Genomic DNA, 25,841 nt, shown 5'->3' on the forward strand with positions numbered 1-25,841 from the left:
AATTTTCACTGGAAAATGGACTACTGGGTCAGGATGATCAACGCCTTTGAAAGATATGGTAGAGACAAGCTCAATACTATTATAAATAATGCTAACAGTGATATTTAATACTGACTGTTTACTACATGCTAGGAACCTTGATCAGCACCTTAAGTGCATCACCTTAATGAATCACCCCACAAACACTGAAGTCAATATAATGTTCATTGCTATTTTAGAGATCTGGAAATTGAGACTTAGAGTCAGTAACTTACCTAAGAATAAAGAGCTTGTAAGTGGCAGAACTGGGACTCCTGTAGCATCTCTCAGTGCTGGACATTTAGAAGTCATCTGGTGACAATTTGTTGAGCTGATGTAATTGGATGTAAAGATTGTAAGATTTTTTTTTAATGTAGGAAAATGTTCTCCATTTGTTAAAAGAAAAAAGTTATTAAGGAACATGCATATTCTAATACTAGTTTGGTAAAATAAACATAGAATGATATATGGAGTAGTATGTGTGTTTGTATAAATAGATGTATCTAAGAGTAGATAAGCCAAAGTGCTGGATCTTTCTGGGTGGTGAGATCACAAGATGATTTTAATTTTTCTGTTTTTAGATCTTTATTTTAAAAACATTCTAGTTTTATATGAAGAAGAGGTAAATAGTTGGCTGTTTGCCTCAAAGTTTGGTTGGGTAATTCGTTAAATGGCATCCTAAAAGTCTGGGGATAAGAGAGGCGAAATGTTTGTCTGATCAGAAAAGGAGCAGTGTAGGAGGCAGATGTGAGTCCCAGCAGTTTTTCCAGAGCCCCCAGGCTCATCCTAGACCTCCTCTGTCAGGAACACCTAGTTTAAGGCAAGTCCTCAGGGGCATGTCCTAGATCCCCTCATCAGAGGACTCACTGGAGGTCATCAGCTCATGGAAATCCTTTAGAGCAACCAGATTTGTCTCCTGCAGCATTAAATATCTTTATTCTTCAATGATATATATTTTTTCTTTTTTTACAGTGAGTAGGAAGACCAAAATGAGAACATATTGGGGAAAGACCTAAGGTTTTACCATCTTAAGCCCAGATGATTGCTTCGAGTCTGTCTCCTCTCCAAATCATCTTGAACACAGTGGCCTGAAGCCCCTTTCAAAATGGCCTTTTACAGTGGTGTATTAGAGAGAAGATGTATTTCTTTTACAACTTTAAAAATTTTTATTATTATACAAATAATAGATTTTTTTCAGAAATATTGGAAAAGCAGAGAAATAATACCATTCAAAAAATAAAGGAAAAAGAAGAAACTGAAGATCACACGTAATTCCATCCCCCATCATCCAAGAGCTTCTGGAATTCAACTCATTCTCCAGGCACTGAGATAATGCTAGAGGAAGTTATTTATGTTGCAAAAGCTTCCTTAGGCTAAGTCAATATAGATTTTAATCAAGCTAGTATCAAATCTTAATGAAACATGTGCTAAGAGATGCATTTTGTTTCCTTTGTCTCCTAGCCTGCATTGCAAATGTCTCTTTTTGGCCCTGACATCAGGGCTGAAACAGAAACTAAATACTTAAGTAAAGTGCATCATTGTCCAGAAAAGTAAGCTTGGATATTTGCATGTTAAATGCCCTGTAAATACAAAGACAGATTTTGCTTCCCCCACCACACACAACTTCCTATTGCTGTGTGTGTGAATTAATGAACTTACAGGATAGCTCAGGGATGTCTCTTCATCTGTTTCAGCCTTAACTACTACTTCCTAATTGAGAATTGTCTTTTACTACTAACCATGATGATGATAATTTATTGGGTATCCACACAGGCTAAGCACTTTAGTAGACCAGCTCACGAATATTTACAAACTTTCTTTAAATTAGGATTATTCTCCCTGTCGTATAGATGAGGAAACAGAAATTAATTTACTGGCTCAAAGGCCACAAAAATGCAAAGTGGCAAACTAAGCTTCCCAGGTCTATCTGGTTCCAGAGCTTTTTGTCTTAACCATTGGAGTAAATAGCTTCACTTTCTGCCAAAGTGGCTTGTGCTCATGGTTCCAATAATCCAAGTAGAGAAGAACATTTTGGATCAAGAGGGTACAGGGTCATCGACTCAACCTTAATTTTCTAAAGATCACACCTGATGACCTAAAATTCAACTGTCTTGGGGCCAATAATGGCTGTTTGGTTGAACACAGGTGCCTATCGAATTTTTTTTTTATATATATACTTTAAGTTCTGGGATACATGTGCAGAACGTGCAAGTTTGTTACATAGATATACACGTGCCATGGTGGTTTGCTGCACCCAACAGCCTGTCATCTACATTAGGTATTTATCCTAATGTTATCCCTCCCCTTGCTCCCCTCCCCCTGTCATGCCCCCGTGTATGATGTTCCCCTTCCTGTGCCCATATGTTCTCATGGTTCAACTCCCACTTATGAGTGAGAACATGCGGTGTTTGGTTTTCTGTTCCTGTGTTAGTTTGCTAAGAATGATGGTTTCCAGCTTCATCCATGTCCCTGCAAAGGACATGAACTCATTTTTTATGGCTGCATAGTATTCCATGCTGTATATGTGCTACGTTTTCTTTATCCAGTCTATCATTGATGGGCATTTGGGTTGGTTCCATGCCTTTGCTATTGTGAATAGTGCTGCAATAAGCATACTTGTACATGTGTCTTTGGAGTAGAATGATTTATTATCCTTTGGATATATATCCAGTAATTAGATTGCCAGGTCAAATGGTATTTCTAGTTCTAGATCCTTGAAGAATTGCCACACTGTCATCCACAATGGTTGAATTAATTTACACTACCACCAACAGTGTAAAAGCATTCCTATTTCTCCAGCATCTATTGTTTCCAGCATCTATTGTTTCCAGACTTTTTAATAATCACCATTCTAACTGATGTGAGATCGTATCTCATTGTGGTTTTGATTTGAATTTCTTGAATGACCAGTGATGATGAAGTTTTTTTCACATGTTTGTTGGCTGCATAAATGTCTTCTTTTGAAAAGTGTCTGTTCATATCCTTTGCCCACTTTTTGATGGGGTTTTTTTTTCTTGTAAATTTGTTTAAGTTCTTTGTAGATTCTGCATATTAGCCCTTTGTCAGTTGGATAGATTGCAAAAATTTTCTCCCATTCTGTAGGTTGTCTGTTCGCTCTGATGATAGTTTCTTTTGCTGTGCAGAAGCTCTCTCTTTAGTTTAATTAGATCCCATTTGTCAGTTTTGGCTTTTGTTGCCATTGCCTTTAGTGTTTTAGTCATGAAGTCTTTGCCCATGCCTATGTCCTGAATGGTATTGCCTAGGTTTTCTTTTAGGGTTTTTATGGTTTTAGGTCTTATGTTTAAATCTTTAATCCATCTTTAAGAAACCTAGGTAGTAGCAAGTTAATCATGTTTCCTGATCAGAATGGAACAGATAACTAGATGTAGTACAGTCTTCAATGACTTGGATAAGTTATTGGCACTTTCAAGATCTGTTTTCTCTTTTATAAAGTAAGGAAATTGGACTAAATGATATTTCTGATACCTTCTGATACTAAAACTCGAAGGTTCTTCTTGCTCAGAGGGCACCCTGTTTTCCACCTCAAAGAATGATAGCGGTTTCTCTGATTAAAATAAAATTATTAAGTCAAAGAAAGACAGTATCAACAACTTATTAGAAATTCTCCTTCTCTTTTTGGAGAGGGGCATGCATTTCTTTGTGTTCACTCAAGCCTCTGAAAATATAAATAATATATTATGACAGAGTGAATTATGATGACAAAGTTTGGCATTTAATCAGAAAAATTGAATAAATTAATGTATAAAATGACCAATCCATGATTACAACTCCTTTGTAATGCTGTAGTTCCTCAGAGACAGGTATGCAACTATGTGGCTTCATCCAAGGTCTATTTTGTACTTACTTTCAAATGGCAAATAACAGGTAACCTCCCAAAATTCATATGTGAAAGTTCTAGCCCCCAATGTGACTGTATTTAGAGAAAGGGTTTTTAGGAGGTAATTAAGGTTAAATGAAGTCATACGGGTAGGCACCAATCTGATAGGACTGCTGACCTTACAGAGATCTCACTCTCAGCCTTATGAGGGCATAGCTAGAAGGCAGCAATCTGCAAGCCAGGAATAGGACCTTTACCAGGACTGAATCAGCAGGTACCTTGACCTTGGACTTCTCTGTCTCCAGAACTGTGAGAAACAGATTTCTGTTGTTTAAACCAATCAGTCTGTGACATTTTGTTATTGCAGCCTGAACAGACTAAGACATAGTGTTACAGCATTATGAGCCTGAGTGTTAAGCCCAGAAACATGCCCAAATATGTACTTAGGGATTTGCAATTTTTAATATTTGTCCTTGGAAAGGTCACGTCTTTGCTGATATAGCCATAGATAAATTTAAGAGTTGCATTTTAAGATAGCATTATTTACTCCAGTAAAATATCCAGTGGTCACATTTTTCTTTAAACAGATTTTTTTTTCCTGACCAAAGAAAATTTAAATACCGATACAGTGCCATCTTGTATATCTACCACTTTTCTTTTAAAAGGAAGCTGCTCAAACCTACTGTATAGGTGTTAAATAATAGCAAAAGTCTATGATGGAAGGATTTCTGTTGCACCGGAGCAGCCCCAGGGGAGATGCAATTTTTACAGAGTATATTTATATATTTTGATTGTGGGGATCAGATGCTGTTCTATGACCTCCCGCCAGGTCTCCTTCCACCTTTCTGCCCTTGTAAACATATATTTTACATTTGTAAATCAGCCTGCAAAAAAGGTATTTTAAAAAAATCTAACACCCCAAACACTATTAATATTTGGTCCACATTTACCAATGCCTTATGTACCTAAATCGAAGGGGTTAAATAATATCAGCAGAAAAGAGAATTTACATTTTTCATCAAATGTCTGCCTGTATATTGAAATGTTTACTAGTAGTAAGCCTTATATTAATATCTGCAAAGCACATAATTTTTCAGAATGCTTTTTCACTTCCTTCATAACTACCTTAAGAGCAATCCAGAGCCATTATTCCCCGTTTTCAAATGGGAAAAAATAAGCTCAGGTAGCTTAGGTCCAGGACAATTTGCAAATGGCAGCAGAGGAAAAGATTCCATGTATTTCCCAAACCTCATTCAGTATCTGGATATGGGGACATAATGGATACAAAATTGTCTTAGTTTAAAGTAACAGGAAGAAAGCACCAAAATAAATCACATGAGTGGAAAAAATTAACTGTGCCTGCCATTTCCAGTTTTGGAGCAATTGAGTTGCTTCCTGCATTTAATGACACGGGCTAAATTACCATAGTTATAATTCCTCAAATAAAAAAATAGGTTATTTGGAACTTATTACTCTTTAATAGCATAGACCAGTGTTTCTCAAACGTTTTGGCCTAAAGGTTTCTTTATGTTTTTAAAAACTATCTTTAAAAATGATTCAGGATTCCAGAGAGCTTTTGTTTCTGTGGGTTATATCTACCCATGTTTACTGCATTGAAAAATAAAGCAAAAACTTTAAACATATTTTATTAATTTATTTAAAAATAGTAAATTAATGACGTTAAACTAAATAAATATTCACATTTTTATTACAATTTATTTCCCAAAACGAAACAAAAATTAGTGAGAAAACTGTCATTGCTTTCTATTTTTACAAATATATTTTGAGTCTGGCTTAAGGATGACTGGATTCTCCTATCTGCATTTGCATTCTAGTTGTGGTGATATCATACGTGTAGCTGACACACTCCACTGCAAATCCATGAGAATGACAGTGAAAAAGCCAAATAATGTGTTTGTGGTTTTTTTTTTTAAATAGTTTTGATCTTACAGGCTGTCAGGGATCCCTAAGCCATATTTTGAGAACTACTGATAAAAACAATAACAAAGCCAGAATTTTAAAAATATGTGTTTTCAATAATATAACAATTTCTGAGGCACATACTTTAAAGTGCATAATAATCTCTGAGAAGGATATTTTTTTCCAGTAGAATCATTTGAGTCTTAGTTCTTTTCTTTCCCTGGATGCTTTGTCTTTAGAGATAATCCAGAGCCTGGAAATTCTAAATTTAAAACAAAGAACAAGGACTCCAGCCTATCTGGTGTCAGCAAGAACAGTCAATGAGAACCACCACTTTGTGTGCATACACCAAACGATTCCAGTACAGTATATGAAAATAGTTTTAATCTCCTGACTAAGGTAAATTCAACACTAAATATTCTCTTTTTGTACCATCAGTTCGAAGAAATAAGATCCTAGTAGGGCATTGCCAGATGGGGAGACGAGAGATTACTCCAAGCTCATGGCCTTTGGGGTACCTTAAAGATAGAGTGACAGACCTCCATATTAAGACCAGTCAGAGGCAGGAAAGGTCCTCTTTGTCTTGAATACCAACACTTTGAGGCTATGGCAGCTTCTCAGAACAGATCTAGCTCTGATGTTGTAGAACAGAAAAAAATCTGAGTGCTGGCTCCATATTTCCCTTTCAGTGAGAAAGGCATTAATGTCTTGTCACTTGTCATCAGTTGGGAAATGCTCAAATGCAGCATTAGTTAATGAACCTATTTAGAATGTAATGGCCTATTTCCATGTATGGCATAAACTAAGCAAATGACAGGGGAGACACAATCACTCAATTCATCACTCTTCTTTATGAAATAATGTGCCTTTCCTTCCTTCCTCTCTTCTTTATTCTTACCTTTGTCCTTTTCTCAAATATTTATATTGTACCCATCATGAATGAGGTACTGTGGCAGATTCCACTTCATATTTATCTGGCTGCCAAATCTGTTTTCTTTTTTTTTTTCAATTTTTTATTTTTGGAGACATGGTCTCATTCTTTTGCCCAGGCTAGAGCCCAATGGCAGTATCACAGCTCATGGCAGCCTCAACCTCCCAGGCTCAGGTGATTCCCCCACGTCTGCCTCCTGAGTAGCTGGGACTACAGTGTGCACCATCATACCTGGCTAATTTTTTGTATTTTTAGTAGAGGCTGGTCTTGAATTCCTGGGCTCACGTGATCCACCCACCTCAGCCACCCAAAGGGCTAGGATTACAGGCATAAGCCACCACGCCAGGACTGTTTATGTTTTAATTACTAAATATTTTTTCTTCCAAAATAAAAGGAAAGCATGTCCTTTATAGAAAAATTAAAATTATAGTATAAAGAAGTCAACCATAATTGCCCATAACCAATCTCTAGGAGGCCATTTAAATAATTTCTTCTGGATTTCCTCCTGTATTCTTATCTATTTAAGATTTACCTACTTGAGATATATACGCATGCAATTTTGTGTCGTTTGCTTAACATTGTATCATAAGCAATTTCAACATCATTAAAAGTCCGTCATAAACATAATTTTAATACCCAAAGTTGGTGATAAATATCTCAGTGGAGGAATCTTATTCTTTATTTCAGATTTCCTTAGGATAAATTGCTTCTTAGAAGTGGAATTACTGTAGGAGATGGGAAGAGTACATTTTAGAATGTTCCTTGACACACTGACGAATTCCTTTCCAGCACTGTAACAGAATCACACCACCAGATAAGAGGGCTGATTTCATTGGACCCTCACCAGAAATGAAGAAATGTTTATTGATAAGCAACATTTGTTAATATTACTGGTAAGAGAAAAAAAATCCTATCTTTTAAAAAAGTCTGGAGTTGGTATAGTCTGAGACAGTATGGCTGCGGCATTTTGGTCCTCCAGATGAGCTCTTCTGCCAGCGCTGCAGATTTCAGTGTATCCCGGGATGAGAGGCTCCGGCTCCACCTGCTGCCACTGTCCTCTTGGAGCAAAAAGATATCTACTTACAGATAATATTATGAAATTAAAAGAATTTCAGCATAAGAAGGTGGCTGTTGAATATAATCTTCCTGGCACCAAATAAATCTATTTTAGAAACTTGGAAGAGAAATTGAACTAGAACAAGCTCATCTTGAAGGGGAAGTTGAGAACCCTACTTCATTTGCGTGAGTCCTGGGACCATGTGGAACTGGCTAAAAACATCATTTGCAAGTACCATACAGAAAACAAAAATGTCACTTTGGCGGAATTTAAGTTTGGACCACTTTTCATAAGACTGTGTTACGACTCGAATCTTGAGGAATCTGCAATGGAGCTCAGGAAAGATGAATATTTACAACGGTTCTCAGACTCCACACAATTTACTATTTTGATGGTTATGTTATTTATCAAAAGCAAATATATAAGTGCTTTGGAAATATTGACAGAGATGAAAAACCCAGATGGAAAGTTCACCAGGATACCTATGTTCTTGATTTTGCAATTGGCCACAAAATGAATAGCTCTGAATCTTTCTAAGTCTGTACTACATTAAGAAAAGAAGCCCTAATCAAAGGAGTTCTCTCCAGGAGAGCATCCTGTTTCCTGTGACATCAGAACCAGGTGGCAAAAGCTATGTCCATTTTTTCTCACATCATGAATCCAGAAAGCATAAAGTTTACTAATTTAAACATGATCATCCATATCCAGTCAAATATGTTAGCAACTGTGATGGAGATACTAAAGGGCGTTGCAGAAGGAAATGTATCAAGATTCGTTGAAAGACGTGAGTTCTCAGAGGAACTGCTGGCCAAAGTGAGGAAAAAAGGGAAAGTTGCGCTTGTCTTTGTGGCCAGATTTCATGAGATGTATGGAAAACTGCACATCGTTGTCCAGGTCACCACTTACACTTTGGATGTTCTGCTCTGCGACATCCGTTTAAAAATGTAAGGGACGGGAAATCCCACATGTTGCCATAAAACAACAGGATGGTCACCTGTTAGACCTTCCAGGCACTGGGCCAGTCCCTGTTGGCTGAGTAAACCCTAGTTTCAATCCACCTGTGGGTATGAAGACCTGCTTCCAGTGAGTTATTGGCTTCCCTAAGAAGCAGGCATCGCACTTCAGCAGACACTACAGTGACACTTGATTTCCTCCCTAAAATCACTGAATGGTGGCATGCTGCTCTCTGAGAAGTTATGTCGTGCCACTGTGAAGATCTAGATACAAGCACAGAAAGCTCAGCTCCCTCAGAAAGCAGGCTTCCCCTGTGCACACTACTGAGGATCCGTGAAGGAACATGGTCACTGTCTCCAGTCCAGCTTCCAGTACTGGAGTGGAACCCAGTAGGCACTATCAGGAATGAATTTCACTACAAGTGTGGTCAACTCTGATTTTCAAGGGAGTAATTACTTGCAAATTATACCCTTGCTGAATTCAGGAGGTCCGAAACCCTGTTCTACCATATCAGAAAATAGCCCAGGATTTCCTCACTGCTCTGCCTTCATGTATTCTGTAACTTGAGCCCTCATTTTCTCATCTGCAAAATAATAGTGCTTATGTGTATTTGCATATAGATTTGAAATCTTCATTCAAGGTTTAGTAGGGTAAAATTGTCTCAAAAATAAGAGAAACAAAAGTTCTGGAGCAAAAAGAAATCTGGATTTTAAATTACTATTGAGATTGAATCTTTAAAAATGCAAGTAAAACTATAGGTCACTTAAAAATTCTCTAAGATAAAAGTTGTATAAATACACTGGTGCTTGCTCTTCATTAACTCAATTAATAAAAGGGAAATAAATCACACCTAAAGTTGCTATATCAGAGTTCTTGGTCACAACGCTGAAATCATTTCTGGCTAACTGAATCAGAAGAGAAATATATTGGAAAGTCGTTAAGTAGCATACCAAAGAGACAGGAAGTTTGGCAAATAAGTCTCCTTACACAGGAAGGGAAGCTTAGCAGCTGAAATTACAACAGGTGGGTCATCACACCATTCAAATAGCTCACTTAGGACACCACTGACATTGCCGCAGTGTTACCTCTGGCACTACTGTCCCTGAACACAAAACCCACTTCACAGATAATGGAGACATTTCTAAAATGTTTCTTCTTGAAACACATAATCCAGATTCAAATAACTGTACAGGAGTCTCTGAGGCTGATGTTGGGTCACAAAATGGTACTCTAGCCGCTGGGGAGCAGGGGACGATGGGTATTGGGCCATTTTGGCTTTTATGAGAATTTGGATGCTAGATAGCAAGACCATGATCAATGACCACTCTAAATACGTACGTGGAATTTTTTGTTTCATAATGCTTTTTAGGAATCTGGCTAACCTTCTTAATTACCACTGAATTTTAAATTGTCCAGTAGGTCATGAGATTATCTGGTTCAATACTGCAAACTCAAATGCCTACCATATTCTCAAATGTCAGTGAGGTGGGGGTGTATGGGAGTGGTGGGGACTGTGGAAAACTGAAGAGTGTCTTCACAGTCTAAAGGCGACACCTGCTATTCAGCTTCAGCTGATGGTTGCTAGAACTCGCCATGGACCAAATGTCTGATGTTACGATTTTACAGAAAATGTGAAAAGTCTGAATTTCTGTGAAATTTCCTAACTTCAACATTTGGAACCAACTTAAAACTAAGCAAAACAACACTGTTGCTTCTTAAAAATCAAGGCTGCAGGCTGCCTCCAACAATCAAACTCTTCATTTAAAAAAAAAAAAAGAATCCAGGGAGATGAGGCTTAAGAAGGTGAAATGCTTGAGACCAAATAACTCAGTTGGTGGCTGAGCCAGGGCTAGAATTTTGGTTTCCAGAGGAAAGGCTAACTAAGAAAAGCCAGTGTTTCCCCACCCCACTCTGCAGCCATTTCTCTCACTTGGAAGTAAGCTCCCAACCAAGCTCAAGAAAAGCGACTCTATTTCATCCAGCAGCAGCAGTCTCCATAAAATGTTTATCAGTTAATAGAACCTGTGAAGCCAATAGAAACAGCTTTCAGTGTTGGATCAGAGTTTAAATTTCAGCTTCTACTGCTTTCTAGGTGAGTAACCTGGGATAAATTATTTTACTTCTCTGTCTCTCGTTCATGGAAAAAACAAAAACAAAAACAAAAAATGAGTCCCTTTTATATACAGGGTTGTGGCAGATGGACTAAGATTTTGTGTACCGACTGCCTGACACAGTGCCAGAACTGTAGTAAGAACACCACACGTGATAGTAACATAACATCCAGGAGATATTCTAATACTTCTTATTTTCCAAGTACACACAAATTGGGGGTAGGGGGAAGGGCTAAGATGCTTAATAGTGGGCGTAGCCAGTTGTGGATAAATATCAAAAAGGGAATCCTAACATGAAGTATAAGTGGGATTTTCACCAAAACCCTATCCTTCCCCAGACTCCAGTGACAGTTTAACGGTCAGCTGCATCAAGGCTTGTGTACTGTGCAGTCTTAAAAGGCACCACTCCTGTCCATCTCGGTGAAATTGATGGTGGAGCAAAAGGGAGTTTAGGTGGTTCCGGTCTGGGGAGAAGACGTGCAGGGTTTCAGATGCGAAAGTCGCACCCAACCGCTTCACTCGGGCTCTAGGCCATCCGCAGGGGCCCTGCTTCCTTCCACCTGCGAGCTTTTTCTGCAGAATGCGGGAAGCCGCCGCCGCCGCCACAGAGGAGGGGGCGGAGGCAGAGGCGGAGGCGGCACCCAGGGGCCGGGGCAGGGGAGGCCGGGACCATCGCAGTGACAATTTATTTTCCTGCAGCAGCGGCAGCAGGGACGGTTGCTGCAGGTTCGGGGTCGGCCGGCCTGCGCGTGGGCTTGCGAGGACGCTGTTCGTCCCCTGCGCTGGGGTGTCCGACAGCGAGGAGGAGAACGACGCACGGAGCCCGCGCGACTGGAACCAGCAAAGCTCCATCTGTCGGCAGAGGAGAAGGGGGAGGAGGCACGGCCGAGGCAAACGAGCGGACGCCTCGTCGCCGGGTGCCGGTATCACCCCGCTGCAACGCCTTCCAGCAAAAGCCACCGCGGCCCGGGTTGCAGCAGCCGGACGGATGCCAAGGCCACACGGCAGCCACGGGGGCAGCCGTCGCAGTCGCCGTCCCACACGGGCTGCGGACACCAAGGGTTGCTAGTGAGTAGCGGCGCGCGCGCGTGAGTGAGAGCGCGCACCGGACGGGGAAGTGCGCACGGCGGGTGCGTCTGCCTCGTGGCCTGGCGCGCGCCGGCCCTTCCGCTGGCAGCGTCCGGTCCCGGGCTGGCTCTAGGGGAGGAAAAAATGCACTTTGGCGGCTGATCGCTTCCTTCCTGCCAGTCATGCAATCGGCCGCCTCCATCGGCGCCGCCTGTATGCGCCCCTCCGCTGGGCCCTCTGGGTTAGTTTCACCTTGATAGGGAGGCAGGAAGACCTGGCTGCTGGTGGCAGGGCGGGACTCTGGCCGTGACCTATACGTGGGTGCGCCTGTTTTTTTGGTTCAGCCCTGGGTTGCAGCCTTGGAGATGATGTCGACCTTGGGAGAGACCACTGCACTGTCTCTAGCGGCGCGGTGTGGAGGAGGGAGGGGCGAGGGTTAGAAAAACGGACCTTTACCCCGGCCGAGCAGGTGCCATGCCTTTCCAGATGATGTTACTTTTATGCCCTTTATGAGCGACTAAGACATTGCCCCTCACCTGAATAACTTAAAGCTTTCGCTGAAAGCCCCCAGTGAGATGCACAAAGAAATGGAATGTCTCCAAAACATATTTTTTTCAGAACTTTCTCTAAAACAACCCACGCTGCTGATACCCCCAGAGCCTAAGGTGCCATAATTGCTGAAGTTTAAAAGAAAATTTATGTAAGGAATAAGTAATTCAGGAAACGGAACCCAATCTAGAGGTTTGAAAAAAAAAATCAAGTGCCTGGGAAGTGGGGTGGGGTGGCTTGCTTCCTGGAAATCAGTGTTCGGTAGTAAGTAAAAAAGACAGCTTTCAAAGTAAGCCCCAGTGAGCACACTGCTTTCCAAACATCTTGCTCATTACTGACAATAACATGAAGTCCTGGATTTTAAGCTATTTCCGAAGACATAATAGATATCACTAGGATGCTTGTTTATGGTCTCATGATTTAAGGCCCTGTCAAGGTCAATAACGTAGATTTGTTCCAGCAGATAAATTATACCTGAATGTTTGATTGTTCGTGTCAATTTTTTTGAGGGTAGGTTTTGACGGTTGTTTTACACAGAAATTAAGCCACCGTGTTTTGTTTTTATCCCGACCTTGTTTCCATTGGAAATTTTGTGTTTTCAGGATGGATGCTACATTGCACTTCAAAAATATACTCTGCCACTGGATTGTAGTGGGCATTGTGTAGCTACACTATACATATCTTTATTTTTAATACAAGTTAATGTGTCGCTGAGCAGTAGGCTCTTTTTGTTTACCATTTGCACCATGAGAGCTTCTCCATTCAAAGGCATAAAATGTTATTGGAATCTACCTGCAAAATGAATTGGCTGATTGTTTTCTGTTCAGACACAGATACAGCAAATTGCCACTAAGAATCTGCTTTTGCGTATACGTTGGCTGTAATTTATGTAGCAACTGGTTCTTGGGAATTTCAAGAAGAAACTTGTTTTCTTATCCTCACCTATAAAGTAAGCACCAAAATTTAAATTATAAGGCAGATAACCTAAGTCCTTTACCTCTATCTCAACCTTCAAGGCCTGTTTCTTGGTACTCTTGCCCTGTTTCATAGGATTCTTACGGTTTGTGGGAGGCTTGGAGGGAGTAGTGAGGAACCAGTTTCCTGAGGATGTCCTCAATAGAGAGATTTGCTTCTGGAGGAGAGAGTGTCTTTGGGGTTGATTCCTAAGAAGGACTGATAAAAATAGTTATAAAGAATTGTTAGTAATAGTTCTCTCTTCTTACTTTCAGCACATAGGACTTAATTAACACCGTTTGATCATTTCCTTCCTTTAGGACCCTTCCCAGCTGTAAGAATTTACAGCTACAATCCAAGAAATGAGATTGCATTTTACAAGAAAAGAAAACTGATGATTCTTGCCCAAAACATGAGAAGTAGAAGGAATGTGAGAGAAAATAATGTAGATTCCGTCCAGGAAGTGCTAGGTGCTTTCCTGGTGGGTACATTTACAAATTAGGGACATTTTAATTAATCTACTGGATTTGTGATTCTGTCTGCTACTATCTTCTTTTTCTTGACCTTATGAAAGATTTATAGATGGCTTCAACTGAAACTACAGGAAATGACTCATGGTTATCCCTGAAGATATTAGAGCCAGATTTCCATTCCTTAGGGCTGATGCATAGCAGCTCTTTGATAAATATTTGCTAAATAAATGACAAATTTTAGAATGTCTTTTTATTATTATTGTACTTTAACTTCTAGGGTACATGTGCACAACTTGCAGGTTTGTTACATATGTATACATGTGCCATGTTGGTGTGCTGCACCCATTAACTCGTCATTTACATTAGGTATATCTCGTAATGCTATCTCTCCCCCCTCCCCCCACCCCACGACAGGCCCGAGTGTGTGATGTTCCCCTTCCTGTGTCCAAGTGTTCTTATTGTTCAATTCCCACCTATGAGTGAGAACATGCGGTGTTTGGTTTTTTGCCCTTGCGATAGTTTGCTGAGAATGATGGTTTCCAGCTTCATCCGTGTCCCTACAGAGGACATGAACTCATCCTTTTTTACTACATCACCTCTTCTGCTATTTTTTAAATCATAACTTTATATGAATCACCAAACATTTCATCAAATTGAATCCCAGTTCATATAATCAACTAAGAAGGCCAACATCCTCGATTGAAGAAACAGTAACAAAATCAAAACAAAACAAAAACAAAACTCTAAAACAAAACTAAAACCAACAAAAAATACTATTGGTACCTGTTGACTTGCTTATTCCACCTATCTGAACATGTGAACTGTCCAATTGAACGTGTGAATGTACATTCAGAAATCCTGAGTTGACATCAGAATGTTCAACTCAGGAATAATCTGGATGTAGCTACATCTGGATGTGGCTTTTGTCAGAAATTATTTGCATTTCTAAGCAAATCAGATTAACGTCTAGTACAATCTTCCATCTCTGCATGTCAAGTGGACAGGCCAATTTAACATTTGGCATACTGCTGAGTCTTCAAAACACATATTGTTTGATGCTCTAACTTTTAAATTAAATCTGTGTTATTTTTTTCCATTGATGTGGTTGGCTTAGAGACATTAATTTGACTGGTGGTTGCTTAGTAACTTGTGTTTATTAAAAGAAGTCCCTTGATATAAACACCAGTAATTCTTATGTCTTGATTTGCTGTAGTTAACCTTTCAAGGTACTCTTTTGGAAATGGGTGCATTGTCTTGAATATTAAGGATGTTATGACTCCTTTTTTTTTGTTTTTGTTTTAGTTCTGACTTTCCATCTCCTGTCATTAGAAAGTCTCCCAGTTATTCAGGTTCCACTTTCAGGATGACAGATTAGAAAGCTATCTGAAATTTACCTGGATATTAACTTTCTAGTGGGTAATAATAATGCAAATTTTATTCCTGAAATTCTTCCTTTCATGTCCTTCTCTGATCAAGCTTGTTTCATTCTGAATGAAAGTCAAATGAGATTCTCAATTTATTTTAAAAAATTGGGCTATGTCCAAAGATAAATACATAAAAGTAAAATATTATGTAAAATAAAAAACTGCTTATCACTGTTCTGAAGTAGCACAAACACAGCTATTCTCTGCATAATGAAACGTGGCCGTTCCTACCAAGTATTTATTTGACAAGTAGGCTCTTAAGCACTTGAACAGAAGTGAAAAGCGGGTTTCCTCCATGTCATATTAAGGCCCTTGAAAGGTGGGGGTGGAATTTTGATTTGAGGTGGTAGCCAATTGTAGGTTCCTTGAAAGGGAGCAAGTGAGGAAAGCATGTTGTCAGAAGAACACTTTGGCAGTTGGGTGGAGAGTGGATTAGTATTAGGGAGTGAAGGCAATAATCCAGTGTCTGATGATGACAGCCTGATCTCAGATCCCATTGAGATGGAGAAAAGAAAACCTTAGGCAGATATCAGGATTCTTTGTTTTATGTGAAAGAGATTGAAAACCTGTGGCACAAGTGTGATCACTAATACCTTCCACACCCACAGAGACATCACCAGTGGATTACAGCATTCTTTCCTGCGGAGCCCTGGTGTAACCTCAGAATCTTGCAAACATTTGACAAATATTTATTAATAGCTGTTAGTTATTGAAGATGTGCTATATGCCAGGCACTGTACTAAGCCTTAACACAAGTTTATCTCAATGATGATGGAGTGGTTGGAAACAGGATACTTTTTCCCCACGTACTAGTAGTGTACCCTTGGACAAGTTACTAACTTCTGTGAGTCTCAGTTTCCTTGCTTTTCAATTGAAACGTTAGTTTCTATCTCAGAAGGTTTTAGGGAGGATTAAATAAATAGCTGTAAATGCAAAGTGGTTAGAACAATGTCTGGCACAAAATTAAGTGCTATATGTGTTCGTTGTTATTCTTTTTACTATTCTTTAAACAACCTTATGCCTAAGTACCATTTTGCAGATTAAAAAATGTGCAAATGAGCTATGTGAATTGCTCAGCATCATAGGCTGGTAAATGATAGAGCTGGCCGTCAAACCCAGGCAATATGACTCCAACACCTATTTTCCTAACTTGTATGGATCCCTGTCTTCTATACTGCATGCCAGGTGCTGGGGATACTGATTAGAGCAAGAAAAGTAGGGGCTTGTCCTCATGGAGCTTCAGTGTTCCAGTCCTCTCTAATGTAGATCTGCCATCTCCAATGTAGAATTAGTAGCCAGATTATAACTGTTTCTCCTTGATGTTTTCGTATTTTGTAAGTAATGTTTTTATTAAGTTCTTTATTAAGAAGTGCTCCAATTTGTGTTTTCATATATGCTTTGAAAATGGATTATTTTCTGGGTCTTTACCCTAACACAGTTGGCATATACAATACTTATGTCTCTCCTTATACTCAAGGCTTCTTATGCCTCCCTCATATAATAGATCAGATTCTGGGGCAAGCTTTAGTATTCTGAAAAACTTCTGTGCCATCCACTTCCCTCCATACTCCCAGAGTCTCAGGTATCTCCCATTGTGAGCTGTGGTGGAGTGATAATGACATTTCTAACCACCTTTTAATTCAGCTTATTCAGAATATTTTATAGAGTAATGGCAAAGCAAATTTTAGTTGTTCTTTGACTTGTTGAAGTAATTATGTCTAATTATAAGAAGACAGATTTTATTTATAGGTGGGAAGACTCCTGTGGCAGTGAAGAATAAGCAATTCTTAACTCCTTCAGAGCTTTAGGATGGAATCTGCCATCACTGATTCCAATATTTTGACTTTATTGCATTAATTCTTATAAATGTATGTTCTCATAACTCTCAGAAATCTATAGCTAGTATTGTGTTGTTCTAAGTAAGTGAAACTTTTTCTTGGTCTTGTATAAAGTTGAATTTGCCTCCAGCAAAAAATCATTGAGTAGAAGGAGAGATATATGTGTTGTGTATGTCAACAGTGTTACACAAAACAAAAACAAAATAAACAATTTTTTAAAGCATAGGTGAAAACGCAAATTGGAACACTTCTTAATAAAGAACTTAATAAAAAGCATTACTTACAAAATACCAAAACGTCAAGGAAAACTAGCAATCATCTGGGTACTAATTTTACATTGAAGATGATAGATTTACTTTGGAGATGGTTGGAACCCTGAAGTGCTGTGAGGGCAAGCCCCCACTTTTCTTGCCCTAGTCAGTATCCTTGGTACCCAGCATGCAAGTATAAAACACTAATAATTTTGTTGTGGGAAATTTTGAAATCTCACCCTTAAAAATATACTCTGCATCCTTTGATTTACTTTTTTTGGAAGTTACATATTATATTATTTGGCAAAAGTTCAATTCTTTTTAAAGAAACATTTTAAATTTCATGAGTTTAAATTTGATTAAAGATGAAAGAATTTGAGATTTAGTGAATTTGGCTTTTTTTTTTAAACGGCTGCAATGCTTAGGTATAGTGGCATCACAGTAACTAAACCAGATTCAGCAAAAGCTCAAGCAAGAGATAACTGTTAAGAGGCCCATCAGGAATTATTCATTTTAATTGTGTGATTTGATGCTTCTCTGGGTTAATTTAGAAACAGGAGGCCAGTGGTGACTCATTTTTAACCCTTTTTAGCTCCCTGTGAACACTGCCTGCCTGTTTTGCATTTGGCTGTGTTCAGAGACAGGCTCAGGTGCAGGTTCCCCTTTAGAGTGTTACATTTCAAACTTGCCTGCTAGTGCACTAATCAGCTATGCACCTTTAATTAAAAGTGTAGGGAAAACTATAGCCAGGAATGATGATTATGGCTAAATTTGGCTCATCTGAGGACCCTGTGATTCTATTTATCCTGTCACTACAACTGTATCATTTAACACTAGAAATACAGAGAGGCTGTTCTGCCTTTGGGCTCATGCTTCGGTCTTCTGGTGGGTTGACTCTGGCTTTTTTTCCCCAATCTGTTTTGTCCTTGAAAGGTTGGTTTATAAATTGTTCCACAAGATAAGTTTTCTTTAACTATAGGAACAAATGGACATGGTGGATGGAATGAGATTGGGAAAGAGAGGCCTGAAATATGCCCTTCCTATGCTAATGTTCCTGTTAACCTGGGCAAAGAAACTGCTTACTTAATCTATAAAGTACTTAAGCTAAATAAATAAATTGATAAATAAGATGAAAATCACTCAAAATCATTGGTGGGTGTAGAACTTTGTTTTTTTTCAATTCATGAAAAATTTAATAAATTAAAATGTGGATCTTGAAAGAAATATAACTATCATATTCTTATGGCACACGTAGTTATTTTTCTTTCGTCAAGTATAATATTACTGAATAACTTAGGTAACTAGGGCAGTGATTCTCAAACTAGGCTCAAAGTAAGAAAATGTCCTCCATCCCACCCCTAGAGATGATTATTCAAAAGGTTTGGGTGGAGCCTGGCAGCCTTCCTTTATATCTTTTTAAAACAAGGGTCGTGGTCTGTCACCCAGGCTGGAATGCAATGGCGTGATCATAGCTCACTGCAGCCTTGACCTCGTGGGTTCAAGCGATTAGCCTTCTAAGTAGCTGGGACTACAGGTGCGTGCTGCCACACCTAGCTATTTTTAATTTTTTTTTTGGTAGAGACGAGGTTTCACCATGTTGCCCAGGCTGATCTTGAATTTCTGGGCTCAAGTGATCTTTCCACCTCAGCCACTCAGAGTACTGGGATCACAGGCATGAGCCACTGCACCCAACAGCCTTCCTTTTAACAATCTTCTCAGGAGATTCTGATGCAGGTGCTCAGTAAACCACCCTTTTGAGAAGAATCCGCTTAAGAGCTAAATCTAATCTTATATTCAAATTCTTTCTTCTACTTTTATGTTTTGAACATTTATTTCTCCTGATTTCGATAGACAGTTTCATGTAATAATATATATGTCAGTGCTGCCTTGGAGTTCTCATAAAGGTACGATATATTGCCTTTCCTAGTCTTAATATGATCTATCTTTTGATGGGTGGAATCAGGAAACCACAGGGTTGGTGGGAATTTTTAGAGATAATGTACATTCTTCTGAGTGACAGATATTTGGATAGGGCAGAGATGGATTTGATCAAAGGAAAGTAAGAGAAGACATTAGTGAGTAGTGGAAGACACAGAGAAGGGGAAAGGCTCAGATAACAGAGGGCACTGAAGGGCTGGCGAGGGTTTAGACCTCTTCTGGCAGGCGCTGAGTTACTATGGTGCAGTTTTTGAGCCGGGGACTAACTGGATGCAAACAAGTGTACACCTGAGCTAGAGACACACAGTACCTTGTCCAGAAACAGAGGATCAAGGAACAGGTGGGTGAAGCAGGCTGGTTTGTCACCATAAAGGCAGAAAGAAACAAGGGTGAGGACTTGGGGCCCAGAATTTGGCTGGACTGACTTTCAAGGGTTTATGCAGTAGGGTTCTCCAACTCTGTGTTCCTAAAGGTCTATAGCTTTTTGGTAAATTGCTTTTTCCTACTATTGATGTTATGGTGTATACATGAAGGCCACCTAGCTCAGCTTCAGGCCAGGATTTAGGAAGTCCTTGAATAATTGCTACAACTACCAGTACCTTAATATTGTGAGGCAAGGAAGGCACAATTATTCTTAACTTTGGACAAGAGAAATAGACTCAGAGAGTTAAGTAATTTACCAGAATTTACACATGTAGAAATTGGCAGGGCTAGGATTCAAGTTCAGGGCAACCTATTCAAAACTTGTAGGTTTTATAAAAAAGTATAATTTGTCTGATTACATAAAGTGATACATACTTATAACAAATTGTACAGCAATGAATAAATAAAAAGTGAAAGTCCCTCATGATCCCACCCTTGAGAGAACAGCTGAGAAAAATTCAGTAAATGTTGTTCCAGACTTGTTTCTTAAAAAATTCCAGTATACTTAATGAATACATTTGTATTCATATTACAAGGATGGAGCTATATTTTATATGTTATTCCACAGCTAGCTGTTTTCACTTAATGCTCTAACTTGGATGACATCCTGGTTCAGTACAAATAGATGTAAGTCCTTTCTAACAGTTTCATATGCTATAGAGATTCTTTATTTTAAGTATTCCTCTTTTGATGGCTATTTATTTTAAAACCATGCTGCAGTGTGTGTGTATATATTAAATGGTCAAGGAAATCTATGGGGAGATCTTAAAATTGGAATTGCTTAGTCAACAGGAATGCATATTATTTTAAAAACTGACATTTTTTTCAATCCTCATCCATATTGAGTTGGACCAATCATATACATTTTACCAATCAAATACATTAAATACCTGGCTTAAATTCAGTTTCTTAATTACTAGTGAATTTAGATGTTTATTTCTTGTGACTTAACTGTTTATATTTCTCTTAATTACTTGCTCATGTCACTTGCCCATTTTTACTCTTTTTCTTACTGTTATGCAAATGTTTCCTATAGTTTACAGATAATAAATATTATAGCTGTCAGTGGTGCAAACTTTTTTATTCTTTTACTTGTTGAAAAGATTTTTAAAAGTACTATTCAAGCATTTACAGAATATTTTATTTTAAAATAATTTTAGACTTTCAAAAGATTGTGGAAACAGTACACAAAGTTTTTATACAACCTTTACCCTGATTCCTCAAATATTAACACCTTGCAAAACCACAGTAGTCATCAAAATCAGTAAATTAACACTGACACAATACTATTGTCTAATCTACAGATCTTATTCAAATTTCACCGAAGTCCTTCTGGGCAAGGATCCTTTCTGGGATCATACATTGAATTCATTTGTTATGCCTCCTTAGTCTCTTTTAATCTGCAATAGTTCCTAAGTCTTTCTGTCTTTCATGATCTTGACACTTTTTAAGAGCATTGGCTGATTGTTTCCTAGAAAATCCCTTGATTTGGGTTTATTTGATGTTTCTTCATGAGTATGTAATCAAGAGAGTGACCTAGTCTGATGATGGTCAAAAATAACTTGCCTGAAAAAGAGATGCTTAAGCTAACACCAGAAAGATGGGTAGAAAGTGGAAGTATGAACTGAGGATGGGGTGCCTTTGCATTGACTTTGCATAGTGCATCTAAGCAACTGAAAGAAGCCAGTGGAGGAGGTGGTGTGAAAGAAGGCTCTAAGGAGGCAGTCTGGTCAGACCCAGCTTTGTGGGACTTATTAAGGTTATAGGATATTAACAGCAATAGAACATCATTCAAGGGCTTTAAGCAAAGGAATGGCAATATCTGAATCAGGTTTTTAAAAGATCACTACAGGTAGATTCTTCACCAGGTAGAATTAATCAAAGGGGAGCAAGATAGAAACAAATACAACAACTAGGAGGCAGTTCTAGCAATGCAGGCAGAGAAAAGGGTGGGGTGTACATTAAGGAGCCTCCCCGCAAAGACGGTGAAAACCTGCAGTTTTGAGAGATGTTTTGGAGGGTGAATCTGAATCTGCACATGCAGGTGATAGATTGGATGTGGGGTTAAGGGAAGGGGTAGGTGCAGGATTGCTAATATCAGCGTTTGCCAGATATTTGTGTAAGTGATTGGATGTTGGTACCATCCATGGAGATGAAAGAGACAATTCTTCACCTCTGATAGTGAAGTCAGAAGCATCACCATCTCCAATTCTTTTAGATGCCAACATTTACAATATATTTGCTTATTTATGCTTCTGTATCTCATTATAGCCACTTAGCTTCCAAGTTCTATGGTTTTTCCTCAGAATCTTTCCCAATAACTGTTTGTCCTTCTCCATTTCTTTCACTGCTCTTCAGTTTGGACAAGGGTTTCCTCATTCCAGTGTTGCATACTTGCTTCCTCTCTGGGCTACCAATTCCTCTATTCTCTGTAACTTTATCCATCGCTTCCAGAGTATGTGTGTTTAATAAATATGTACTAAGTGCCTCGTTTGGGCAGATCACTTTGTTGGGAAGAGTTGGGAATTAAGTAAGTTAAGTATATTTCATGGAACTGGAGTCAATTCCGAGTTATAATTGAGGCAGAAGGAAAAAGGCCATTCTGCCTAGCGGTCAAGAAAGGACCATATTCTTCTTTCACTCCTTACAAAAAATAAATTCCACACAGGTCAAATGTATTTATCCAAAAATGACTAACCACAGAAGTACCAGAAGAAAAGATCAGTAGACATATTTTAAAATTGTTTATGATGAGTAAGTTTGAAGACCTTTTAAAGAATGTTGAGAAACCTAGATACCATAAAGAAAATAGGTCCACTTGAAAGCTTAAATTTTAAAAATTCCATGTAAAAATTAAACAGCTTTCAAGCAAGAATGTCAGCTGAACTAATAATTATAGAAGGAAAAATAGAAATAGAAAAATGGCCACTTTCAAACACCACAATAATTGTCTCAGGGAAAAAAATCTTCAAATGCTAAAATTAGTGGGCAATGGTATATTTGCATAGTTTCCCTACAAGATACTTTTCAATTATAAAGAGAAAAATAGTATCGTGGAGAAACCTGACCGATATAACTTAAACAAATATCACGATTAACATCATTAATAATTGAACAAATCAATAACATATGTCTCCTGATACATCATGGAGGATACACCATCACTTATAAGGTATTTTTTTGCCAAAAAAATGCATAACTCTCATTGTTTTCTGTATTTCATCTTTCTCACAGTCACCACAATCTTTATTAGATAATTGTGTAGATAATTGTTTATTATTTTTACACCTCTCTGCCCCATTCCTGGTCCTTAGCAGAATGTAAGGTCCATAAAAGCACAAAGTAGGGGCTTTATAAGTAACATTGAATAAATGAATGAATAAATAAATTTATTTGGAGCTATCAGTTTTTACAGGAAAGATCCATTTAGCCTTGGATTGTATTGAATGAAAAATAACAGTTGGGTATCCTGGTGGAAATGGATGGAGGACATTTGAAGGTACAATGCTAAAGCTCAAATTAAGCTGAAGCCATGAAAAAAAAAGGTGTCTTATAGAATAAAGATATATCAAGAAAAAAAGATGAAATATTAATATTTGAGATGCAGGGTGAGGGAGGAGAAAGGAAACACCTCCACTTCAGAGAGGCCAAGGCAGGAGTTGATTTTAAATAGGGAAAGTTCAGCTGATCAGGGCCAGGTGCTTAGTGGGGGTTTGTAACTGTTTAATGCAGTGAGTCTCAAGTTTTAATGTGCATAAAAACATCCTGGGCTGGAGATCCCTGGGGCACCCTTCCCAGAAATTTTGACTCAGTGGGGCCTAGAAATCTGTGGGGTTTGTGTATGTGTCTGTGTGTGTGCGTGTGCGTGTGTGTGTGTGTGTGTGTGTGTGGCCAGCACACCCCTCCTCCACCAAGTCATTGTAATGCAGGCAAGTTATCCAGGAACCACTCCCAGAGGGAACATGGCATCCAAATCAGGGGGATGTCAGCTCTAGGGTAGGAAGGTAGGAAGGGGATGAATGGTGAGCAAATTTGGACAGCAGATGACCACTTGCTAACAACTTTGCCAGAATAAGGAGCTCTTCAAGAAAACTCTTTAAAATGGATTGCCAGGGAAAGTTAAGAAGGAAACTTTTTTCTGTTTCTGCCTACTGCATTGAAGAGATTGTCCAGTGCAAAACCAAATGTATGAATACAGCCTCTGCTGTGACATGTTAAACAGTTAAGATTCTTGTGGTTGGAGAACACTGGAGAAGCAGTGGATGACAAGTACTTCAGGATGGCCCTCTTTTGCTTTTGAATAATAGTGCTGGACTCAGTCCATTTTGTAGAACTACTGTCCTTAAGAAAGTTATGAAAATTAAATAAAATTGATTAATAATGCCCAAGGACTAACTACATTTCTGAGCTTTCAGGCAACTGGCAGGCAGGAAAATGATGCTATTTCAAACATTTATTTGTGACTCATTATACTTCATTGAACTAAGTATCTTTTGGATAGTATTTTCTTAAAAGCAAAATTCCAATAAAAAAGGAAGTATATTAAAAGGTACATTAAAGTTTAGTGCCTTATGGGTAGCTTATCTTTAGAAATGCATTATTTCCAGGAATGTTTAGTATTTTAACAGGAGGAGAGCAAATTAGCAAGTTCATATGAATTTGTGGTGAAAAAATATCTGTGTACAAATATGAATCTCTCTCCAGCACCTCAAATTCATTTGCCAAGTGTTTTATAATGCATATTAATTGAATCATCACATTTAGAAAAGAATCTAAAATTAGCACATTGATGAGCATATGAAATGCCTTTGATATAGCACAAAAATGTAGAATTTATATTAAAAACCAGCAAATATTTTGAATTGAACTGTGTCTAGATAGAATAATTATGGATTTGAATTTCTTAACTACATATACCATGTAGTCAGTCCACAAACACTGAATCATTCTGCCGATGAAAAAAGTGAAGGGAGCTGGGCACGGTGGCTCACACCTGTAATCCCAGTACTTTGGGAGGCCGAGGCGGGCGGATCACCTGAGGTCAGGAGTTCGAGACCAGCCTGGCCAACATAGTGAAACCCCGTCTCTACTAAAAATACAAAATTAGCCAGGCATGGTAGTGCATGCCTGTAATCCCAGCTACTTAGGAAGCTGAAAGAGGAGAATCGCTTGAACCTAGGAAGCGGAGGTTGCAGTGAGCTGAGATTGCACCATTGCACTCCAGCCTGGGCAACAAGAGTGAAATTTCCTCTCCAACAAAAAAATGTGAAGGGAATGAATGTCCTTTTATTTCTTTGGCAGGGAGGAGATAATGAATCAGATAGTTGTAATGCTGAACTGAAATCTTCATTTCCACAGTAAATTTTTTCATTCTTGTCCAAGGCCCAAGGATGTGACCTTCTCTTGGATTTTCCTGATTATTATGAGAGGCAAGTCGTTAGTGTTGCAGTGTGACTGTGAGTATAAGCCCTGAACTCCTGTGCACTTAGAGTCCCTGCTCTGTCATTTGCTTGAATTACTTATCTCTTCTAGGCTTTAGTTTTCTTATCTGTAAAATGGAAATCATGGTCGTAATCATTTGAGTGTTTCCTGGCACCAAGCATTGTGCTATATGTTTTACAAGCATTATCTCACTTTACCTTCTCAGTACCCCTATTCATTATCAACCTCCTTTGCAGTTTGGGAAGCTGCAGTTCTGCTGTTAGTGGTTCCTGGAGCCAGAATTTGAATTCAGATGTTCTAACCCTGGAGACTGCATGTCTAATCCCAAGGCTCAACTACCTCCTATTGGAGAAGGCTAACTGAGATCATGTGTGTTCATGCATCCAGTTAGCCAGGGAACGAAAGCATTCTGCTAATGGTACCTATTGTTTTATACAGGTTTTTTTTTTGGCTATCTTTTTCTATTGAAGGCGACATAGTACCTTGCCTGCCCAGAATTCAGCTCACTCTTACCTAGAAGGCAGTCTAGAAAAAACAAGATAAAAGGCATTTTGAGCAGCAAAATTAGAAATCATGTAGCACATTCACTGTAATCAGCAGGTGGTTCACTCACAGAAGATCTCTCCTGATGCACACCTAGTCTATACTTTCA

General features: G+C 38.8%; 2 protein-coding genes and 1 pseudogene across 12 annotated transcripts in view, besides 3 other annotated features; 2 read left to right on the plus strand and 1 right to left on the minus strand.

Moving 5' to 3' along the window:
* Positions 7,646 to 8,801, plus strand: PTCD2P2 (pentatricopeptide repeat domain 2 pseudogene 2; annotated as a pseudogene).
* On the minus strand, positions 10,993 to 11,923 carry LOC124902551 (uncharacterized). The gene has a single exon (XM_047426134.1). It carries the CDS (start codon positions 11,679 to 11,681, stop codon positions 11,154 to 11,156), a length of 528 nt encoding a protein of 175 aa, XP_047282090.1. The 5' UTR covers positions 11,682 to 11,923; the 3' UTR covers positions 10,993 to 11,153.
* Positions 11,393 to 11,522: a silencer, noted in NCBI's record as "silent region_2589". NCBI's record gives its function as "represses an Ori minimal core promoter by ATAC-STARR-seq in GM12878 lymphoblastoid cells {active_cell/tissue: GM12878}" and the evidence as "EXISTENCE:reporter gene assay evidence [ECO:0000049][PMID:35858748]".
* Positions 11,504 to 25,841, plus strand: part of STAMBPL1 (STAM binding protein like 1) — a 43,243-nt gene continuing 28,905 nt past the window's right edge. For 2 of the 11 annotated variants that reach the window (XM_011539983.2, XM_047425555.1), the window contains exons 1-2: positions 11,504 to 11,897; positions 13,721 to 13,881. The gene's annotated coding sequence lies outside the window, so the exon portion shown is untranslated. Of the gene's footprint in view, positions 13,396 to 13,720; positions 13,882 to 25,129; positions 25,608 to 25,841 lie in introns of all 11 variants that reach the window. The other 9 variants (NM_020799.4, XM_017016457.3, XM_047425554.1 and 6 more) reach the window with 8 other exon arrangements.
* Positions 12,103 to 12,212: an enhancer, noted in NCBI's record as "active region_3727". NCBI's record gives its function as "activates an Ori minimal core promoter by ATAC-STARR-seq in GM12878 lymphoblastoid cells {active_cell/tissue: GM12878}" and the evidence as "EXISTENCE:reporter gene assay evidence [ECO:0000049][PMID:35858748]".
* Positions 13,233 to 14,432: an enhancer, noted in NCBI's record as "MED14-independent group 3 enhancer chr10:90641731-90642930 (GRCh37/hg19 assembly coordinates)". NCBI's record gives its function as "activates an origin of replication core promoter dependent on BRD2, BRD4, P300/CBP and CDK7 cofactors, and independent of MED14, by STARR-seq in HCT116 cells {active_cell/tissue: HCT116}" and the evidence as "EXISTENCE:reporter gene assay evidence [ECO:0000049][PMID:35650434]".

Source organism: Homo sapiens, chromosome 10 (assembly GCF_000001405.40).
Source record: "Homo sapiens chromosome 10, GRCh38.p14 Primary Assembly".
NCBI classification, from domain to species: Eukaryota; Metazoa; Chordata; class Mammalia; order Primates; family Hominidae; genus Homo; species Homo sapiens.